The sequence below is a fragment of the Homo sapiens genome, chromosome 22 (assembly GCF_000001405.40).
Source record: "Homo sapiens chromosome 22, GRCh38.p14 Primary Assembly".
In the NCBI taxonomy this organism is placed as follows: Eukaryota; Metazoa; Chordata; class Mammalia; order Primates; family Hominidae; genus Homo; species Homo sapiens.
In genome coordinates, this window is record NC_000022.11 from 27,752,666 (window position 1) to 27,773,052 (window position 20,387).

Consider the following 20,387-nt stretch of genomic DNA (forward strand, 5'->3'; position numbering starts at 1 on the left):
GAAGAGTCTCATTATTCTCATTTCCTAGACTCTGACTTTAGAGTATGTCCAAGGTCACACAGCCTGGAAGGGACAGAAAGCTGGGTTTGAATATGGGCTGATGTTGAATTTCTGCCTCAGTAGTAGTGAGAAAAGCTGAAATTGGGGGTGGGGGGCTCTGCTCCAGCTGAGGGAGCACACCCAGATACTGAACTCCATGACCGGCCTGCCCTCAATCCTCTGTGCAAGCCCAGCCAAGGGCCCTGTGCCAGGCAGGAGTCACCGGCCCGCCCTGCCCTCTGGGATTAAGCAGGAGGCCTCCCCCAGGAGCTGAGCCACAGCCTGCAGAGAAAATCCTCCCAGAGGGATGGGCCCAGGCAGCTGAGGACAGGCCATGACTAACTGGGCTTGGGGCCCCCACCCTGGAGCCCCAGAGACACTCAGCTTTGGGACCTGCATGCTGGGAGGAGCCGGAGCTGGGCAGAAAGGAGACTTCCTTGGCCCCTTCCCTCATTCATGCAACTAACATGCCTTTATTGAGGACCTTCTATATGCCAGGCATGGTACAAACCCTATGGATCTAGCATGGAATAGGACAGACACTATCCCCACCCTCCTCCTGGAGCTGATGGTGAGGCCAGGAAACAGTGTCTCTTTGTGACCAAAGCACGGTCACTTTGAAGTCACAGCCCCACTACTGTGTGGCCAAGGCTCTACCATGTTCCCTCTCTGGACCTCAGTTTCCCCATGGGTGAAATGGGGATGATGTCATCTCCCCTGGGGCCTTGTAATGGCCTGGCACACAGACAGTCCCCCAAACAGTGCTGCTGGGACTGTCATTCATATCTGGGAGGGTCGGGGGTGAGGGGGGCTTTGCAGCCACTTAGAATCCCCTAAAGCCCCACTACTTCCTGGGGCCCAGCTAGGTGGGCGTGTTCCTGCCCATGAAACAGGAGCCTTTGCCCCATTTCACAGAAGGAGAAACTGAGGTTCTGAATCCAAGGTTTCAAAGCTAGTTAGTAGTGGTGAAATCTGGATGTTGTTAATACCCCACCCAGGGCTTCCTGGGGAGAAGGTACACCAGGAAGCTTAAGGCATCAGATGCAGGGTTTCTAGGAACATGGCAGGCCCTGGATTCTGGCAATACTGAGGCACAGTGCCCCAACCTTTGCTCTTGAACCCATGCTTGCCTTGTTCCCAGCGACCCCTCCACCCTACCCTGCTTAATATCTCCAAAGGAATTTTATTCCAAGCACTGCAAGATCTGGACTGGGGTGGGGTGAGGGAAGTAGTACCTGCCACAGAGAGAGAGAAAGAGAGAAAATCTGAAAGGGGGTTATTTCCCCCACTTTGCACAAATTATCTCAAGGAATGAACGTAGCAATGCTTGAGCCCACTTTACAGATGAGGAAACAAACTCCGAGGGATGAAGCTCCTTGCCAAAGGAGAGATAAACTCTTTGCTCTGGGGCTGCAAACACCCAGAAAGTGAAAGAAAATTCCTGAGCAACACACCGGGCAGAGGAAGCTGGGTCTGCCAAGTGATGGGTAAGACAGACCCAAATGGCCAAATTTTCGAAAGACGCTTTCATCCCCAAGTTACAGCCATAAGCGTGCCGTGCACTAACGCCAGAAACCATTGCTGTTCTTATTAGGGGTGGATTTAATGAGGGCATCCCAGGCACACAACTGAACACTTCTGTGTATTATCTAAGCCCATCACCCAGCAAGCCCATCAGTGGGGGTGCCCCTTCTCCCCACCCCAGCAGGGCCACCCTGGGCTCAGAGAGGGTGAGAGCCTTGCCAGATGTCACAGAGCATGGGTGCAGGATTCCCCAGCCTCCGCCTAGAATGAGAAAGAGAGCCAACCAGTCTGGTATCCACAGGGAATATTTTTAAGAGAGAATATTATTCTTCAGTTCTTGACAACCCAAGCATGACCAAACTCATCCTCCCGCTGGATTCATTCCAGCTAGGGGGACCTAACACGCCCTCAGACCGCGGCTCCCCAGGGCTGCCGAGTCGCTGCCGATAAATCAGTCCCACGGAAGCCGCCTCAAGTCATGGCCTGCCCCAGCTCAAGAGAGGCCCTCAGTCTCCGCTCCTTGAGGCGGTAAGCACGCCAGCCCCCACGCCAGGACCCAGAGATAAAACCACCCCCTTGCCAAGCTCCCAGGGTTGGCGGAGATCATGGAGTCACTCAGCGCCCAGCACTGGCAGACATCACAGGACCCAGTGAGTGCTGTTCTGTTTTCCACTTGATTGTCAGCCTCCCCCATCAGACTGTGGCCATGTGGAGAAGGGCAGGTTTGGTCTGTTCACCCCCCGACCCTGCACACACCAGGCCCTCAGTTGGGTCCAGTGTACTGACTGTGAAGCGCCCTTCATCCCCATTTGACAGACGAGAAGACTGAGGCTCTAAGGGGCAGGAGCTACCCAGGGGTCACCCACGGCCATGTCACCAGCTCTGGTGGTGTGGCTCTCTCCTCTCAGCCCAGGATTCCCAGCTGCTCAGGCCAGGGTGGAATCCCAAATGCCCTGTATCTGGGCAGCTCCTGTCTGCAGAGCCACAGTTTCCTCATCTGCAACTTGGGGGTGGTGATTCCTGCTGAGCCCGGCTAAGAGCAGCATGGGAGACCTCACGAGAGACTGGCAATACCATGTGCATGTTGGGGGGTCAGTCCCAGAGGCTGGGGCAACATCATCTCAAAACAGATAACCCTGTGTGTGCCTCACCCGATTCAGGCAGCACAGGGGGCCGAGGGCAGGGGCCTCTGGTTCTTGGGGACTGATGGGCATGCCTGCCCAGCAAGGAAAGACTGCAGGACAGTTTTTAAGGACAGCTATGGCCAGAAAGAACCACCTCACACTCCATGCCCAGGGTCAAGGCCCAGAGCTGAGACAGACACCCCTGCTCTTTCTCCTCCCAAAAGCACTCCTCAGCTTTTCTTCATGGCACAAATCCTCGCTGATCTTCCGGCCTCTTCCTACTACCCCGTCACCCCTGCCCTGAACACCACAGCACTTCATTTGGTCATCATACTGCAGAGGTTCAGTCTGCCCCCTGCTCACCCCGCTGCGATCACGAGACCCACGTTGGATTCTGTCTTCCAAACTTCTCCATCCACAATGGAGACAGTCAGTTCCATTAAGGGAAGGAGAGAACCAGGAGCAGGTGCCAAAAAAAGCAATTGCGTGAATAACTCAACTCACTCCGTTTCTCTTACAGGGTTCAACAATGATAGTGGCCACCATTCGTGGAGCAAGGAACTTTTGTACATCACTTCAGCTCTCAGAACCTCGGTTCTAGGAAATGGGGGAAATAATAGGACCGGCCGTGATGGAGGCAGTTAGGAGAATTAAGTGAAATGATCCATGCAAAACGCTTAGCACGTGGGGCGCTCCTGCCAACGCTGGCTATGAGTACAGCCTGTCAATGTTGTTGGCCAGCCTGCAGGTGACAGTGGGGACCTGCAGGGCTGGGCCCGGGGAGGGCTGAGTGACCCTTCTGCAGGCTGTGCCTGGGGTGAAGGGAGAATGGAAAAGAGGGGACGTTTACCTGGGGATGTTGCATTTTAAATTTTGCTTCTAGAGATGCCACCCACCCATAGAGGGGGCCGAGTTTTCTTTTTTTCTTTGAAGTCAGCAAAACAGGCCTCGTCATCACCCTGCTCTGCACTAAAATCCGCGGACCAGGTTCCAATGTGGGTGAGCCACGTGCTCAGGCGTCGTGAGCCGGGCGGAGGTGGCTGCCACCTCCCACGCCAGGCAAAGGGCTGCCTCGGTGGTTCTCCCAGCCACGGTTCCACCACTGAGCCCCAGGGAAGGAGACTTCTGACCCAGCCACCTCCTGCCCCGCTGCCTACCTGAGGGAAAGCCAGGGGTATTCGGGAAGAAGGACAGAGCCCAACAACTGCCCATATCAAGGGCTCCCTGGGTACTCCGGGCTAGGTGCTCACCTCTTCTCTAGTACGGGAGGAGTAAGAGAACCTACCTTGCAGGCTGCTAGGAGGATTAAGTGAGATGACAGCTGGAAAGCCTTCAGCATAAGGTGAGCCCTTTGTCAAAAAAAGGGTAGCTGCTCTGACACTTATCATTCTTTTGTTGTTGTTGTTTTTCTTTTTCTTTTAGAGATAGAGTCTCGCTCTGTCATCCAGGCTGGAGTGCAGTGGCACAATCATAGCTCACTGCAACCTCAACCTCCTGGGCTCAAGCAATCCTCCCACCTCATCCTCCCAAGTAGCTGGGACTATGGGTGTGCACTACCACACTCGGCTAATTTTTTAAAATTTATTTTGTAGAGATGAGGTTCTCACTATGTTGCCAAGCCTAGTCTTGTATTCCTGGGTTCAAGCAATCCTCCCATCTCAGCCTCCCAAAGTGCTGGGATTACAGGGGTGAGCCACCATGCCTGGCCACATTTTTCCTTCTAATCCCCTAACCTGGTACTACTGTTGCTCTTTACAGATGAACTGAAAGATGGTCCAGAGAGTCAGAGCCTGATCAAGGTCACACGGAGTCAGGGGCAGAGCCAGGCCTGCAATCCAGCCCCTGGTTTTTCTTTTGTTTTTTGTAGAGATGGGGTCTTGCTATGTTGCCCAGGCTGGTCTCAAACTCCTGGGCTCAAGTGATCTGCCCACCTTGGCCTCCCAAAGTGCTGGGATTACAGGCGTGAGCCACCGCACCCGGCGCACTCTTACTGTTCGTGGCACTGGAGGCAGACAGAGCTAGAAGTGCCACGTGCCAGCGTTGTGCCATGGGGCAGTTTCTTCATCCCTGTGGGTGCTAGAAGCTGCCGAGGCTGGGGGTCAGGGTGCAATCCCAGGCAGAGCTTGAGAATGAGAATTCCGGGCATATTTTTAACTCGGGGCTTATGTAAGAAGCAGTGTGGGCCTCAGCACACAATAGCGGATGACTCTCGCCCAACTCACCCTCGCTGGATTCCGACAAAGGGAAATGTATTTTGGTTTTTCCTTTATTTGGACCTGGTGCGGGGAGACATTGGGTTCTGTGACAGCTGCCACTCAACTGGGGGGCTGGGCGACTGGGCCTGGAAGCTGAATCAGGTCTGGTGGGCCACAGGGCTGAGCCACCACTTCTTGGAGCCTTCGTGCTACAGCCTGGGAGTCTCTTAGGCCCCCCACACACTTATCTGTGACCCCCAGACCTTGGTAGCTTTTCTGTTCCTCACCTCCTTAGAAGGGCAGGGCCATTGCATCCAAGCAAGCCCCGGGCATTCCAGGTCACTCTTCCCTCCTCCCCATCCCCCACAGTCAGCCCAGGCACCAAGGAGGGAAGAGGCTGCCTCCAAAGTCTGCCCACTTTTCTCCTGCCCCACTACCCCACCCTGGCCCACATACCAACCATCTCCTGCCTGCAGCTGCCACCTTGCCTCACTCTCTGCTTACACACTGCCCTCCAAACCTGTCAGCTGGGGGAGTTTCCTGAAGCACCAACCAGAGCAGGCCTCTCTCCTGCTTGAACCTTCCATGGCTCCCCAGTGCCTCGCAGCTTTGCATGCCCCAGGCTGACTCCCTCTCGGGCCTCTGACCTCATCTCTCAGTGCTCTCTCCTGCACTGAAGCCCCAACTATACATTCTCTCAGCAGAGCCCTGATCCTTCCACCTCCACACCTTTGCTGCTGCGGTTTTTTCTGCCTAGAGCACCTGCCCCTCCTCACCCCAGGTGACTCCTGCCATCCTACCTGGCTGTCAGCCCCATGGCGATGTTTCTCTAACACCCCTACTCTGAGATGTGCATACTTCTCTCCCTGCTGGCAGATGGCACCCCTGGCTCCGGCTACCATGATGGTAATGATACCGCTAGCTGCAGGCTTGCTGGCTTCAGGGATGTGCTCACACATCTTGCTCTGGCAGAGGGGTGTTCTGAGGGCAGGGCCCCTCACCAACAGGCCACCAAACACAGAAAACATCACGGGGGACTTTGGAGTCAGATGACCAAGGTCTGTATCCTGGTCCCTGGCATTGTTCCCAGCAGCTCAAGCTTGGGCAAGTCACTTTCCCTCTCCGAGCCTCACCTTTCTTCTCTGTGAAATGGGAAGAAGATAAGGTTCTATTGTGCCTGGCATATGGCAGGTACCCAGGAAAATGCTACCAGCTATCAGGGCAGACAGAAGTCACAGGAGTAGAGAGCCTTGCCCAATAGAAAGTATAGTCACAGGTTTTTGTTTTTGTTTTTTTGAGACAAGATCTAGCTCTATTACCCAGGTTGGAGTGCAGTGGCATGATCACAGTTCACTACAACCTCTGCCTCCCAGGCTCAAGCAATACTCCCACCTCAGCCTCCCAAGTAGCTGGGACTACAGGCATGCGCCACCACGCCCGGCTAATTCTTGTATTTTTTTTATACAGATGGGAGTTCACCATGTTGCCCAAGCTGGTCTCGAACTCGTGAGCTCAAGCAATCCACCTGCCTTGGCCTCCCAAAGTGTTGGGATTATAGGCATGAGCCACCGTGCTCAGTCACAGGCTTTTGACTGCAGTGCTAAGACCTGTCTCCAAGAACCTACCACTGAGAAAGGTGGAGGATTTGACCCCTGTGGAGTTGGCCCCCACAGCCCAACTAGAACCCGTCTGCGGGGCCCCACAACCCCAAGAATGACCTGCCTTGGCTGCCTGTGCACACTTGATCCCTGGGCCACGTCCCCTTCTATAGAAAGATAGATGGGGCCTGGGAAACTCAAAGACTCTGGGCTCAGGGGCAGGAACAGCAAATCTCAGCCAGATATCAGGGATCAGAAAGAAGGTCTACACGGCCACCAACCAAGCAGGAAAACAGCAAACCTGAAACTTCACGGTTGGCTCCCACCCCAACCCTCCCAGACACGCATCAGCTTAGAGGTTGTCCCAACTCTGAGCTTGGAGGCCTGAGTTCAAAGCCCACCATGGTCTGAATCTCAACTCTGCCCCTCACTAGCTCTGTGATCTTCGGTGGGTCCACTTGCTGAGCCTCAGTTTCCCTATCTGTAGAAGGGGATAACAATCCCTCCAGTGACAATGGCCTGGAGACCCTAAGGGCAGACATGCCCATGTGGCTCCCACCTGCTTCCTAGCACACAGTAGGCACCTGATAAGTATTTGTTAAGTGTTTTAATGAATGGCTCACATTTTCATCTCAGCTCTGTCACCTTGCTTGCTGTGTGATCCTGGGCAAGTCACTCTCCCTCTCTGGGCCTAACTGGCCCTCTCTAAAATGACTAGTGGTTTGGGTAGATATACAACCCTCCCCCCAAATCCCTTCTATCCCTCTGGGGCAATCAGATTTCACATTTGAGCTGGGCAAGGTGGCTTACATGTGTAATCCCAGCAATTTGGGAGGTGCAGGTGGGAGGATTGCTTAAGGCCAGGAGTTCAAGACCAGCCTGATACTGTCTCTATAAAATTTTTTTAAATTAACCAGACATTGGCTGGGCGTGGTGGCTCACACCTGTAATCCCAGAACTTTGTGAGACCAAGGTGGGTGGATCACTTGAGGTCAGGAGTTCATGACCAGCCTGGCCAACATGGTCCCATCTCTACTAAAAATACAAAAATTAGCCGGGAGTAGTGGCACATGCCTGTAGTCTCAACTACTTGGGAGGCTGAGGCAGGAGAATCGCTTGAACCCAGAAGGCAGAGCTTGCAGTGAGCCGAGATCACACCATTGCACTCCAGCCTGGGCCACAGAGCAAGACTCCGTCTCAAAGAAAAAAAAAAATTAACCAGACATGGTGGTGCATGCTGGTAGTCCCAGCTGCTTGGGAGGCTGGTGCAGGAGGATCTATTGAGCCCAGGAGATTGAGGCTGCAGTGAGCTGGGATCATGCCACTGCACTCCAGCCAGAGTGACAGAGCAAGACCCTGTCTCTAAAAAAAATAAAGAAAGAAAGATTTTACATTTGATATAGGCAAGAGTCTGGGGCAGGAGCCTAAGCAAAGGCCACTGAGACATCTTGACCTGAGCTCAGGGAACCACACCCACAACCCCAAGGATGGGGACCAAGAGATAGTGGCCAACAGCCTGCGTGACACTCTAGGCATCCCACCGGGGCCACGCAGAGCCCGAGGCAGGCCCAGGGGACTAGCCACTCCTTGGCCCAGCCCTATGCCTGTGTCCCCTGCCCCTTCTCTGCCCTCCCATCAATGACAACTTCCATCAATAGTGTCACCGTGGCAATCGAGAAAAGGAAAAGGGAAAGCAGACCACTGTCTCTATGCGAGTCGGCTCCAGGGCGTGACCGTGAACATGACCTGCAGGCTCAGTCGGTCACAGTGAATGACTCCAACACCCAGAGGGAGAGATGGCCCGACACACTAGCCCATTTTACAGCAGAGGACACTGAGCCTCAAGGAGGCGATGCCACAGGCGCAGGGTCACACAGCCAGCCATCCGCAGAGCCAAGGTCACACCCAGAGACGTCTGATGTCACAGTGTGTGGTTTTTATCAAAGTTGCATGAAAAAGGGAAACATCATTGGCCAAAGTGACTGGCACGACCTCTCCCACCCCACCACCACCCCCAATTTCTCTCTTGCAAGCATTCTCCTCCTTTCAATCTGTCTCGTTCTCGCTCTCTCTCTTTCTCTCTCTCTCTCCCTCATGTCTTGCTCTTATTCACCCTCCCTCTGTCCATTATCCATCCTCTCTCTCTCCCTCTCTCTTATTCTTCCTCTTTCTGCCCCTCCATCCGTATCTCCCTCCCTCTCTCCTTCTCCCCCTCCCTCTTATTCTCTAGTTCTTCTTATTTCTCTCTCTCTTTCTCTCTCTCTCTCTCACACACACTTTTTGGGGGAAAAAAAAAAAAACCCAAGGCTCACAGATGGGATGAGAACTTCCCAGGGTGACACAGAAGCTGAGGACAAAACCGGACAGCCCCCGCCCCTTAACGTTTCTTCCCTCACCACTGATGTTACCAAAGTTTCAGCTGCAACCTTCCCCCATCTGACAGGAGGCAGCACACGGCAGGGATGGGGGCACCTGGGGGCAGGGAGGGCCTGCATTCCCCTTCTGCCCTGGGCACAGAGCCAGGTGCAAAGACAGCCCCCCAACTCATGATGGGCAGGAGGGGTCTGCAAGGCCCCCCCGTTCCAGGCCCCACGAGGGTGAAGCAGAGGCCTCGCGCCGGCCGCTGCAGCAGTGCAGTCTGGTGAGAGGCTGGGCCAGGCCCCTGGAAGCCTTAGGAAATTAATTTGAGTTGACTTGGCTGAGGGCAGCTGTCATTTAGATTGAGAACTGGCCGAGGGCTCCACAGAGGAGAGGCTGCAAGGGCATCATCGGAACCCGGCTGCCAGGAGCTGGGGGCAGGACCGGGGAATGCGGGGGGAGGCTGAGTCCTAGGGACTGTCCCTGGCCCTGAAGGAGGGGATGAGGTGGTGCATGACAGCCGCGGACGGCAGGATGGACAGAGTGGGCTCCTCGCACCAGGCCTGGGCATCTCTGATTGGGCTCCCTGTCCTGCCTGGCACCTCCGGCCACGCAGCCAGTGACCTGTGACAGATGCAGCCCTGCACACCCTGGGGCCACTCCTGACCTGTATGCTGCTAAGATGTGACAGGCCCCGGGGGGCTGAGGGCCAGTCGCTTAGCCTGCACCTTCCTCCTGATGGTGGTGTTGCCCGCGTGCTTATGCAAAAGCACAGCCCGTCGGTTCTGAGGAAATTGACTCCTCTGAGCCTCAATTTCCTCATCTATGAAATGGGGATGGAGACAGTATCATTCTCATAGGAGGGAAGGCCTGGGGGCAATACAAGCAAAGTGCTTAGCACAGTGCCAGGGGCTGACTTCACCCCATAAATAGTAGCTGCCATTCTGGAAAGACTCTCAAATATAATAATAGTATTTGCTGGTAATACCGGTAATGCTGGTAATAGTATTACCATTAAGTACTATTATTATATTTGAGAGTCTCTCCAGCCCTGTCTCCAGCACAGCCCTCCCCCTCTCTGTTTTCTTGCCTTCTTGCCCAAGATTCACCCACATAGTGTTAGACCCTATACTGAGTGGCCTGGGCAGGATGCTGTACCTCTCTGAGCCCCAGCATGCTCGCACAGAAACTGGAGCAACTAAACACCAGGGCTGACACCTCACTGAACTCCTAGCACTCTGCCTGGCAAGTGGTAAGTCATTCAACAAATAATGATTTTTATCTATAATAAAAAAAAAAAGTAAACAAATAGAGGCCGAGTGCGGTGGCTCATGACTGTAATTCCAACACTTTGGGAAGCCGAGGCAGGAGGATTGCTTGAGCCCAGGAGTTCAAGACCATCCTAGGCAACATAACAGGACGCTGTCTCAAAAAATAAAAATAAAAAATAAAACATTAGCCAAGCATGGTGGTGTGTGCCTATGGTCTCAGCTACTTGGTAGGATCACTTGAAACTGGGATTTCGAGGCTGCAGTGAGCTGTGATGGTGCCATTGCACTCTGGCCCGGGTGACAGAGCAAGACCTTATCTCAAAAAAACAAAACAAAACAAAACAAAACAAATATACATTCACATTTATTTGGAATTAGAGCCTCATTGCTTCCAGCCCATTGGAGGAAACATGAGGTTCAGTGCAAGTCTGGATTTTAAAAAAACACATTTTCAAAGTGCTGATACTTTGGGTGGAGGTCCTATGGAGCACCTGCCTCATCCCCCCCATCCATGGGTCTGCCAGGAGCTCTGGGGTATTTTCCTGTGTCGGGTCAGCACAGCTGGCAAGGGGCCGGCTTACCCACATAAGTTCCCACGCACTGCTTCATCGCCGGGGAAGGGCTTTGCATAGGGGTCAGTTGTGCACAGTCACGCACTTTGGAGACAGAGGCCTGAGTTTGAAATCCATCCCTGCCACTGTTGGGTTGTGTGACCCTGGATCAGCCACTTTGATGCCTCCACTGCCTCCTCTGAAAAATGGGTTTGGTCATTCCTTCCTTGCAAAGAAGGGGATGAATTGGTACCCAACCGACGGTCAAAGTCCTGCTACCATTATCAATTCCCCAAGCCTGGGCCTAGGGCAGCCTAGAGGAAGGGAGTCCTCGTGAGGCCACTAACAACGTGGCAATGAGCTGATCACAGCCACATGTGTGCCTGCAGCCATGTGCTGGGCACTGAGCTCAGAGAGGTGAACCCAACACAGGTTCCACCACCTTCCAGAGCTCCCACCCTATGGGAGAGATATTCCGGTAAACATGAACCTGCAAAATAGAGCAGGAGCTCCACCAGAGCAAAAGGCAGGCCCATGTTGTGAGATCTGAGGGGAGAACTGGGGATCCTGGAAGACTTCACAGAGGAGGCGGTGTGCAAGTAGGGGGTTAAGCAAGCTTTGCAGGAAGAGGAGGCGAGAGGAGCACGCCAAACCCAGGCGTGACTCCTTCCAAAGCAAGAGACTGGCCCAGGGACCCTGATTTAGGGATGGGTGTGAAACGAGGGAAGAGGAGGCTGCAAAATTCAAGTGAGGTCAGTCATGGAGACCCCTGGAAGAAGTTAGACCGTGTTCCTGCCAGCAATGGGGAGCCAAGGAAGGCTTCTGAGCAGAGAAGGAGCATCGAGAATCCATCAAAATTAATAAAGGGGCTTGCACCTCATCCATCTAACCTTGCCGTAGAACACCTGACTTAGAAACATAGCCCCTTATTGAGAACCAAGTCCCTTGTATTCTCCAACTCTAAGCAAGGTGAGGGAAAAGAGTCCCACTCCCATGGGAACGGTACCTTGAGAAAGCTTGGGTCTCACTGGGCTGGCCAGGTGCCCAAGGCAGCTTCTAAGTCAGATGCCTCTAACTTGGGGCCCCAAGAAATCCAGCTTAGTTCCTCATTCCAGCCCTGCCACATCTCAGATGGTGACCTCTACAAGGGGCTCCACCTGTGCCTCTACTTCCCCTCTGCACAATGGATGTGATCATCATGCTCTGTGCATTACATCACCAAGTCCTCTCTGAGGCTACAGGTAGGGAATCAGAAGCCTGAGAGGAATGGGGACTCGTGCCAGGTCATCCAACAGTGAGCAGAAGGGCTGAGGGCAAGTCACTTAATCTGTCTGTGTCTTGGTTTCCCCATCTGTGAAATGAGATCTTAGACCTACCGGGCAGGGCTGCCAGGAGAATGACATATGATATTACCAATAACATAATTACCGCTAGTACCTATCACATGTTCATTCTTTTAAACTCAATAATTCCTCATGTAACCCTGGAGGAAGCATCTATTCTCCTAGTCCCATTTCTCAGATAAAGACGCTGCTAGGGTCAGCCCACTACAGCACACAAGTCAAAACTGGCCCACTCCCTGTTTTTGTAAATAAAGTTTTATTGGAACACAGCCTTGCTCATTTGTTTACATTTTGTTTATGGCTGTTTTCCTAGAGTTGCATCAGATTGTAAGCATTGGGCAGAGTTCTCCAGAGAAATGGTTAAACAAATATCTGGGCACCTCATGACCCAGTCAAGGTAACACATAAAATTAACCATCACAGTATATAACCCACAAACCTAAAATATTTGCTATAGATTGGGCCCTTTGCAGAGAAAGTGTGCTGACCCTTGAACCTGAGGCTCAGAGAGGTGATGTCACTTGTCCAAGTTCGCATAAGAGGAGGTTGCAAGCCAGGCACCCAGTAGGTGCTCAGTCCATGCTCCTGATCTATGAAGATTCGTGCTGTCACTTTTAGGGAGTCAGAAATGTCCTCGTCATTTGCTATGGCCCTCATCTTCCCTCTTGGGCTACAGCAGAAACCTCTTTGTCTTTCTACTTAAAAATCAATAGAACATTATTAGGAGCAGAGGGTTGCTGTTAGAAAAAAAAAAGTCATTCCAGAACACAGCCACAAAAAAGGAGAAAGGTGGATTTTCTGAAGCCGAATGAGTCAGCCACGTCAGGCAGGAGGGAGACTCGAGCGGGGGCTCCCAGCACTTACCCCTGCAAGGCCTCTGAGGACCCCCGTGTGGGCTGCATGGCCTGCCCAGCAAACAGCAGCTCAGCTTCAACTCTGAAAGGACAGACTGATGGGCAAAGCAGACAGTGACCGGCCGGGCAAGCGGGAACTGAGTGGACAGTAGTGGGGGGAGCACTGACCCGGGTCTGGCCCAGGTTCTCTCCACAGCACTATGAGAACCAAGGCCACGCAGCGAAAATGGCAGAGCCTGGATTTGAACCCAGGTCTACATGAGTCTAGAGGCTGTGTCTTCTTACCCGCTCCCTGGTGTGTGCCTGGTGAAGGGGGTGGAGAGAGACGGGGAGCAGCAGGAGGTGGTCTGGGCTTAGAAGGAGCTGGTTAATTATTTCCATTAAAACGACAGGGAACTAAGCCCCCGGGGTGCCTGTGCCCGGCACACCCATCCTCAGTGGCAACCACCCTAGGGTCCCGGCAGATCCAGCCTTTGGCTTTCCAGGAAGAAGCGCACCTGCCGCAAACAACCCCCAACTTGCTTTCCCTCTGGACTGGGCTCTCCTCCCCAACTCTGGGAGCTGAAGCTGGGCTCTGCCGGACGCTGGCTGTGTGATTTCAGGTGCAGCACTTGCCTTCTCTGAACTGACATCCCCTTTGAAAGTGGCAAGAGTGTCAGCTGCCAGGACCGGGACTCCGTGACCTAAAGATGCCACCCAAGTGGGTGTTCCCCACCTCAAATTATCCTGTGGACTGCTGGAAAATATTCGCTGGTCTCCACCTTGGGGGTTGGAGAGAGGATTGAGCGATGCTGACTGACTTGGCTCTTCGTGCTCTCACTGGGCCTGCAACGCCCAGTGTCATCTCTGGCATTGACCTAGGAAGGTGGTGTGTGGTCTTTAAGGGGAAGGTGGGGGCTGCCACACTCCTTCCAGCAGGAGGTGTGGGAAGAGGCGGGTGCAGGGGAGTGGGGTAAGTGACTGAGTCAACCCTGGCCTCACCTTCTGTCAAATTTTCTCCAGACAAGACAAATTTTGCAACACCTATACCCCACCTCTCAGAAGGATTTGCCAGATTTGGCCTATGTCTCTGGTATAGAGAAGCAGGATTAAGACCCAGTGCCTCTTCCTCCAAGGGCAGAAGTCACAGCCCCTTGTCCCTGTGGTCTTCTAAGGATGGCAGAACCAGACCTAGGAAGACTGGGCTGACAAGTGCTATTTATTAGGGAAACCAAGGCCACAGAGGGGTAAGTCAAGGGCAGAAGTGTGACTAGATCAGAGGATTTTGGCCCTACTGCCAAAGCCAGCACCAGACCCCCTCCTCGTCCCGAAGGCTTCACCATGGAGTTTGTAGTACGCTGTCACCAAGGGGAGGCAACACTATTCCTGTCATTTTTCCCCTCTTCCTGGACCACCACTTTCCTTTCTCTCTTCACCTGACTAACTCTTCTCCATCTTCCTTCATCAAGGAGGTCTCTTCAAGTCCCTCAGTGGGCTCCAGTGCCCCTCATACTGTGACACCTCACACCAACCCTAATTGTGCTAAACTTTTCCTTCTTGCCCTGCTCTCTGCCATGGCCCCAAGAGTATGAGTTCCATGAAACTAGGGGCCTTGTATCACCTATTTACTTCCCACTCTGACCCTAGCACCTGACATATAGTAGGCCCTCAGTGTGCTGACTACATCAATTCCTGGGAACAGGAACAAACCCTAAAGAGTCCCTAAAATGAGAAAGACTCACACCACATCACCTGAGCCCCCGGACAGACCTGAAAAGGAGCTTTTCAAGGCTTCCTGGGTGCCAATAATACAAGACTTAATTGGAAGGCTTGCCAAATTTACTGAGAGGGGCGACGCCCTCTCACAAACCATGTAGAGATTAAGGAATTATATCCACTCACTTCCCACAACCCCAGCCCAGCCAACAGACTTCCTTCAAAGTTTGAAGGTTAGAGTTCTTGTTTATTTTAGACCCTACTGGTGTGTGCAAAAACCCCGAAATGGAGGTGCCTGTAATAAAGACAAAAATGCAGGAGTCCCCTGGGATGAGCTGACAAGTGCCAGCAATTTCCTCCTGCCCAGTGTGATCACCCAGAAAGGCCACCTTCCCAACCAACATGCCACCCAGCCCTGAGACTGGACCTACAGGGATAATCTCTGAGATGAGATTTAAGTCAATTCCAAGCATGGAAATCGGTGAAATTACCCTCCACCGCTCCAACAACATCTCTGGGCAGGCAAGGTTGGGTGGGTGGAGGTGTTGGTTAAGGGTTTGGGGGGTTTTGACAAAAAGAAAAAAAAGAGAGAAAGAGAGAGACAGTATCAGCAAATTGGAGGGTAATTTTTTCCCAGGGAAGAGAACCACATGCCAGGCACTATTCTAAGCATTTCATGTATATTACTTCATCGGGTCCTCCCTTCAAAGGCAGGGACTGTTATTCCTTTTTAAAGGATGCAGAAACAGGTTCAGAGACGTGGGGTGACTTGCCCAACACCACACAGCAAGGGAGCAGCCAACTCAGGATGAAGCCATATCAGTTTCCAAAGCATCTTCTACTTTTTCCCCACACCAGAAAGAGAGACAGACAAGGAGAGGAGGAGGGAAGAAGGGAGAGAAGGAGGGAAGGAAAAATAAAACATGTCTCCCACTCTCCCAAACACCCATCATCCTGCCTTCCCCTTTGGCCCACCGACTCTGCATCTGGAAACACCTTCATGTTTCCTGGATTGTCACAGAGGGTGAGAGATGGGCATACTCATCCAGGGGTTAGGGAGAGAGTCTGATTCAAGCCAGGTCTCACCCACTTACAGGGTCTGAGCCCTGGAGAACCAGGCCCCCAGGGAGGCATGCAATGCAAAAGACAAAAGCATTTACCCTCCTATGCAGAGCTCACCCACCTGAGCAAAACTCCTGCAGAGGTGGTTTCCAGCTGCCTGTGGGTAGAGCTACAGAGAGTACTGCTTGGTGTCGGTTGCCAAGCAACAGGCTTTTACCCAAGGACCCACCCAGACTTTATGCACACTGGGGTGTAACAAGTAGATGCCTTGGGAGCTCCTACAAGCTCAGGAGCTCCATGAGTCTAGAGTTGGGTTGTCCAACATGGTAGCCACTAGCCATGTGCAGCTTTCACATTTTTTAAATAAAATTTGAAAATTGGCCAGGCATGGTGTTGCACGCCTATAATCCCAGCACTTTGGGAGGCCAAGGCAGGAGGATCACTTGAGCCCAGGAGTTTGAGGCTGCAGTAGGCTATGATCATGCCACTGCACTCCAGCCTGGGCCACACAGTGTGACTCTGTCTCTAAAAATAATTAATTAATTAATTAAAAATAAATTCCTCATTCATGACTAGCAATATTTCAAGTGTTTGACAGCTGTGTGTGGCCAGTGGATACTGTACAGGACAGGGCCTATGGAGGACATTTCCATCATTCCAGAAAGTTCTATGGGACAATACTGATCTAGAAAAATAATCTACAAAGTCTCTCCCAGTCTGCATCAGTGGCTGCCATGACAACTAGTTTTCTTACAAAAGGCAAGCCCTATCAGTTTCAAGTAGGCAGGTTCCATAGACTGATGTAAATTTGGGGCTGAAAGGAGCTGGTCATCTTTTCTAGGATTATCAACCACGCGGGGCTCCCACCAAAACATATTTCACCTTAAGTCCATGGCAGACATTGCTAATCAACTGCAGCACTCCCTCCTAGGGAACCTTCAGAGTCTTTCTTGACACAATGCTGCAGGTAGCCGAAACTAATCCAGATTAGCACTTGATATTGAATCTGTAATCTGACCTATTGCAATCACAAAGAGTGGGAAACTGAGGCCCAGTGAAATAAAGTAAATTGCCTGAAGTCAGATGATGAGTCAAGGCCAGGACAGGATTAAAATTCACACCCCCAGCCTCCTGTTCTCTCCCAGCATGTTTCCCCCATTAAAACTCTGGATGGTGGAAATTCGCAATCCTCAGAAATGAGGCTTGGAAATGCAGTGACTGAGGATGAAGTAGAATGATGATAATAACGAAGCAATAATATCAAGGATGCCAATTTTTTTTTTTTTTTTTTGAGACAGAGTCTCGCTCTGTCACCCAGGCTGGAGTGCAGTGGCGCAATCTCGGCTCGCTGCAAGCTCCGCCTCCTGGGTTCACACCATTCTCCTTGCCTCAGCCTCCCGAGTAGCTGGGACTATAGGCACCCACCACGCCCTGTTAATTTTTTTTTGGTATTTTTAGTAGAGACGGGGTTTCACCGCGTTACCCAGGATGGTCTCGATCTCCTGACCTCGTGATCCACCAGCCTCAGCCTCCCAAAGTGCTGGGATTACAGGCATGAGCAACTGTGCCCGGCAAGGATGCCAATTTTTTTTTAATCATCTGCTATGTGGCCAGCCCCAAGTCTCAGTTTTCACTGGTACCTTCCTTTATTCTCATGCCAATCTATAATGTATGCATTACTATCCCCCAGATCATGAGGAAAAGGAGAGTCGATGGCTCAGTAAGACTCGCCCAAGGCCACATAGTCACTAATTGGCAATCATAATCCAATATTGACAATGAGTATCCAGGGTGTTCAGCACTGACCACGCACAGTTTCACAGTCCTCATCCTAACCTAGAGAACACAGTCCAAGCTTCATCTTACAACCTTCCCTCCCAAATCCTTTCCGGCCAGCACAGCAGATAGCTCCCACAAGCCTCAGCCACCAGGCAGGGCAAATGCTGATCAGGTGTAACCTGGATTTTAGAACCACTGAAAGGATGATGGAGAGAGATTCTTGTCACCCCAGAGTCACAGTCCATAGACAGTTGGCGGTTTGAAAGGCAGCCATTTCCAGGTTGAAACACTGAGGCTCAGGGAAGAGAGGACTGAGGTGGCTCCCAGTCCAGTGCATTTTCCAACACATAAATTTCTGGAGAGGACTCTGAGGCCCTCTTGGGCAGAGAATCATGTGGATTCAGGATCCACCTCTGCCTTGTCCCAGCTGTGTGACTTTGGACAAGGCACTTTCCCTCTCTGGGCCTCAGTCTCCCTGCAATGGAAGTAATAGTCCTGACTTGATCAAAGAACACACGAAGAGTTTACAGATACAAGCATAAACTGAAAAAGGAATGATTATCACCTGAACTTCACAGTACAAACCTGGTTATTTTATTTTATTTTATTTTATTTTTAGAGACAGGTTCTCACCTTGTCACCCTGGCTGGAGAGCAGTGGCGCAATCACAGCTTACTCTAGTCTCAACCTCCCAGACCCAAGCAATCCCCCACCTCAACCTTCCCAGTAGCTGAGACTATAGGCATGAGCCACCATGCCTGGCTACTTTTTTTTTTTTTAAGTAGAGATGGGGTCTGGCTATGTTGCCTAGGCTGGTCTTGAACTTCTGGCCTCAAGCAATTCTTCCCACCTCAGCCTCCCAAAGTGCTGGGATTACAGGCGGGAGCCACCACATCCAGCCCATTTTTAACTTACTCTTAAATATGCCCATAAAAGGTATTTCGAGTCCAGAAAATAATAATAGTCATTGGGTCCATTTATTGAGCAGTTTGCCTGTGCTGAGCACTGCATTAAGCACACTTCATCTGTCAACTTGGGGGTGGCAAACTACAGCCCAGTGGCCAAATCTGGCCCACCATCTGACTTTTGGATCTTGGAGGGTTAAAAAAAACTCTATAACCCCATGAGCTAAGAATGTTTTGGTGGGGTTTTTTCCCTAACTTTTTTTTTTTTTTTTTTTTTTTTTTAGAGATAGGGTCTCACTCTGTCATCCAGGCTGGAAGGCAGTGGCATGATCATAGCTCATGCAACCTCTGTCTCCTGGGCTCAAGCAATCCTCCCACCTCAGTCTTCCAAGTAGCTGGGACTACAGGCACATGCTACCATGCTTGGCTAATTTTTTATAGAGGTTGGTAGGGGGGTCTCACTATGTTGCCCAGGTTGGTCTCAAACTCCTGTCCTCAGGCAATCCTCCTACCTCAGCCTCCCGAAGTGCTAGGATTATAAGCGTGAGCCGCCACCCTGGCCTTTTTTCATTTTTTAATGGTTGAAAAAAAGTCAAAAGAAGATACTTCATAACAAATGAAAATTATATGAAATCCAAATTTCAGTGTCCATAAATAAAGTTTTATCAGAACACAGCCACACCCATCCATTGGCACACTGTTTGTGACTGCTTTTGCATGACAGGGAAAGGGATAGGTAATTAAGTAGAGACTTTATGGCATGCAGAATCCAAAATATTTACTCTCTGACCCTTAACAGAAAAAGTTTGCCAACTCCTGCGTTAACTCATTCAATAGTCAAAGTTACCCCCATTTTAAAGACTGGAAAAACTGAGGCTCGGAGAAAGGAGGTAATTTGCCCAAGGTCCCACAGCTGGTGGGAAGTGTTGCTGGGGCTTGAACTCCTGGGGAGGAAATCCTATACCTTGGGTTCCACCGCCGTATATCAATTATTGGAATCTTCCAGAGAGGTTGTTGGACCCGACACATGTCAGGCCACTCACCTGCTGGAAAAATCAATCCCAGTACTATTTGCTGAGGCTTCTCGGTTATAAAATAAGGAGGGACGAAAGGGGCTGTTATGTGTGTCCTCCTGCCCGGCCCTCCCTAGTCCTCCCTGTCTTGGGGAGAAATCGCTGCTGTGGGTTTAAGTCCTGGCGACAGGGCATTCTCGGGCAGAGCACACACAGCTGCCAACAGACTCAGCCCTCAGCCCAGCAGGGGCTGGGCCAACTCAGCCCTTTTTCACCCCACTGCCTCGCTGTGTCTCAGCAGAGAAATTGCCCAAGACTAATTGCAAGTAATATTTAATTTTGTCAGGGATAATTACATGAAATCAATCCGGCTTCTACCTGGAAGCACTTCGTTACCATTTGCCTTTCGAGGGAGTTGGGGTGGAAATAGAGCAGTTAGAGTGTGGGGAGGAGGGAGACGGTCATGAAACTTGGACTTAACAGGCAACAAGTGTGACGAAGTACAGTCGTCAAGTCATGATAGAGTCTAGCATTTAAGTAGTGCCGACTGTATGCCTCTGAGCAGTGCTCCACAGCTTGACATCACTTAACCAACCCCAAGACAACCCTGCAGGTGCAGACGTCTGTGGGGCACCAGGAGAGTGGTGTGCTGGTGAGAGCCTGGGTGAAGCCCTGCTAGGCTACTTCCTAGCTCCATGATCTCTCACGCAGCTGCGCCCCTTTGGGCCTCAGTTTCCTCACCTGTCAAATGGGAATAAGAATAGTAAACTGTTCCCAGTGGTTTCCAGCCGCCAATAAGCTAGCAAGACAACACACTCATCAGGGTTTGGTACTTAGCAATTGCTCCATGGATGCTGCTGTCACTATCACCATTGCCATCATCATCATCATCATCATCATCATCATCATAATCAAGCAGTGTGGCTGGCAGCTGGGGGCTAGCAGCCTAGTGCCTGCACTAGGCCCAGTTTGAGGCTGGGGTGGGGGAGAATCAGGAGAAGAATTTGGGGAAGGCCTAGCTTTCTCGGCCTCCCCAAGGAGGCCCCATACACAGAACCTCTGAGCCAAGAAGCACA

The 20,387-nt window shown here is 51.7% G+C and overlaps 1 protein-coding gene across 1 annotated transcript in view, besides 3 other annotated features; it reads right to left on the reverse strand.

Annotated features, from left to right (window-relative positions):
- Positions 1 to 20,387, reverse strand: part of MN1 (MN1 proto-oncogene, transcriptional regulator) — a 53,480-nt gene that overhangs the window by 4,389 nt on the left and 28,704 nt on the right. The window lies entirely within an intron of this gene.
- Positions 5,127 to 5,809: an enhancer, noted in NCBI's record as "H3K27ac-H3K4me1 hESC enhancer chr22:28153780-28154462 (GRCh37/hg19 assembly coordinates)". NCBI's record gives its function as "activates a minimal SCP1, AML or CMV promoter by ChIP-STARR-seq in primed H9 embryonic stem cells {active_cell/tissue: H9 hESC(primed)}" and the evidence as "EXISTENCE:reporter gene assay evidence [ECO:0000049][PMID:30033119]".
- Positions 12,736 to 13,237: an enhancer, noted in NCBI's record as "H3K4me1 hESC enhancer chr22:28161389-28161890 (GRCh37/hg19 assembly coordinates)". NCBI's record gives its function as "activates a minimal SCP1, AML or CMV promoter by ChIP-STARR-seq in primed H9 embryonic stem cells {active_cell/tissue: H9 hESC(primed)}" and the evidence as "EXISTENCE:reporter gene assay evidence [ECO:0000049][PMID:30033119]".
- Positions 13,238 to 13,737: an enhancer, noted in NCBI's record as "H3K4me1 hESC enhancer chr22:28161891-28162390 (GRCh37/hg19 assembly coordinates)". NCBI's record gives its function as "activates a minimal SCP1, AML or CMV promoter by ChIP-STARR-seq in naive H9 embryonic stem cells {active_cell/tissue: H9 hESC(naive)}" and the evidence as "EXISTENCE:reporter gene assay evidence [ECO:0000049][PMID:30033119]".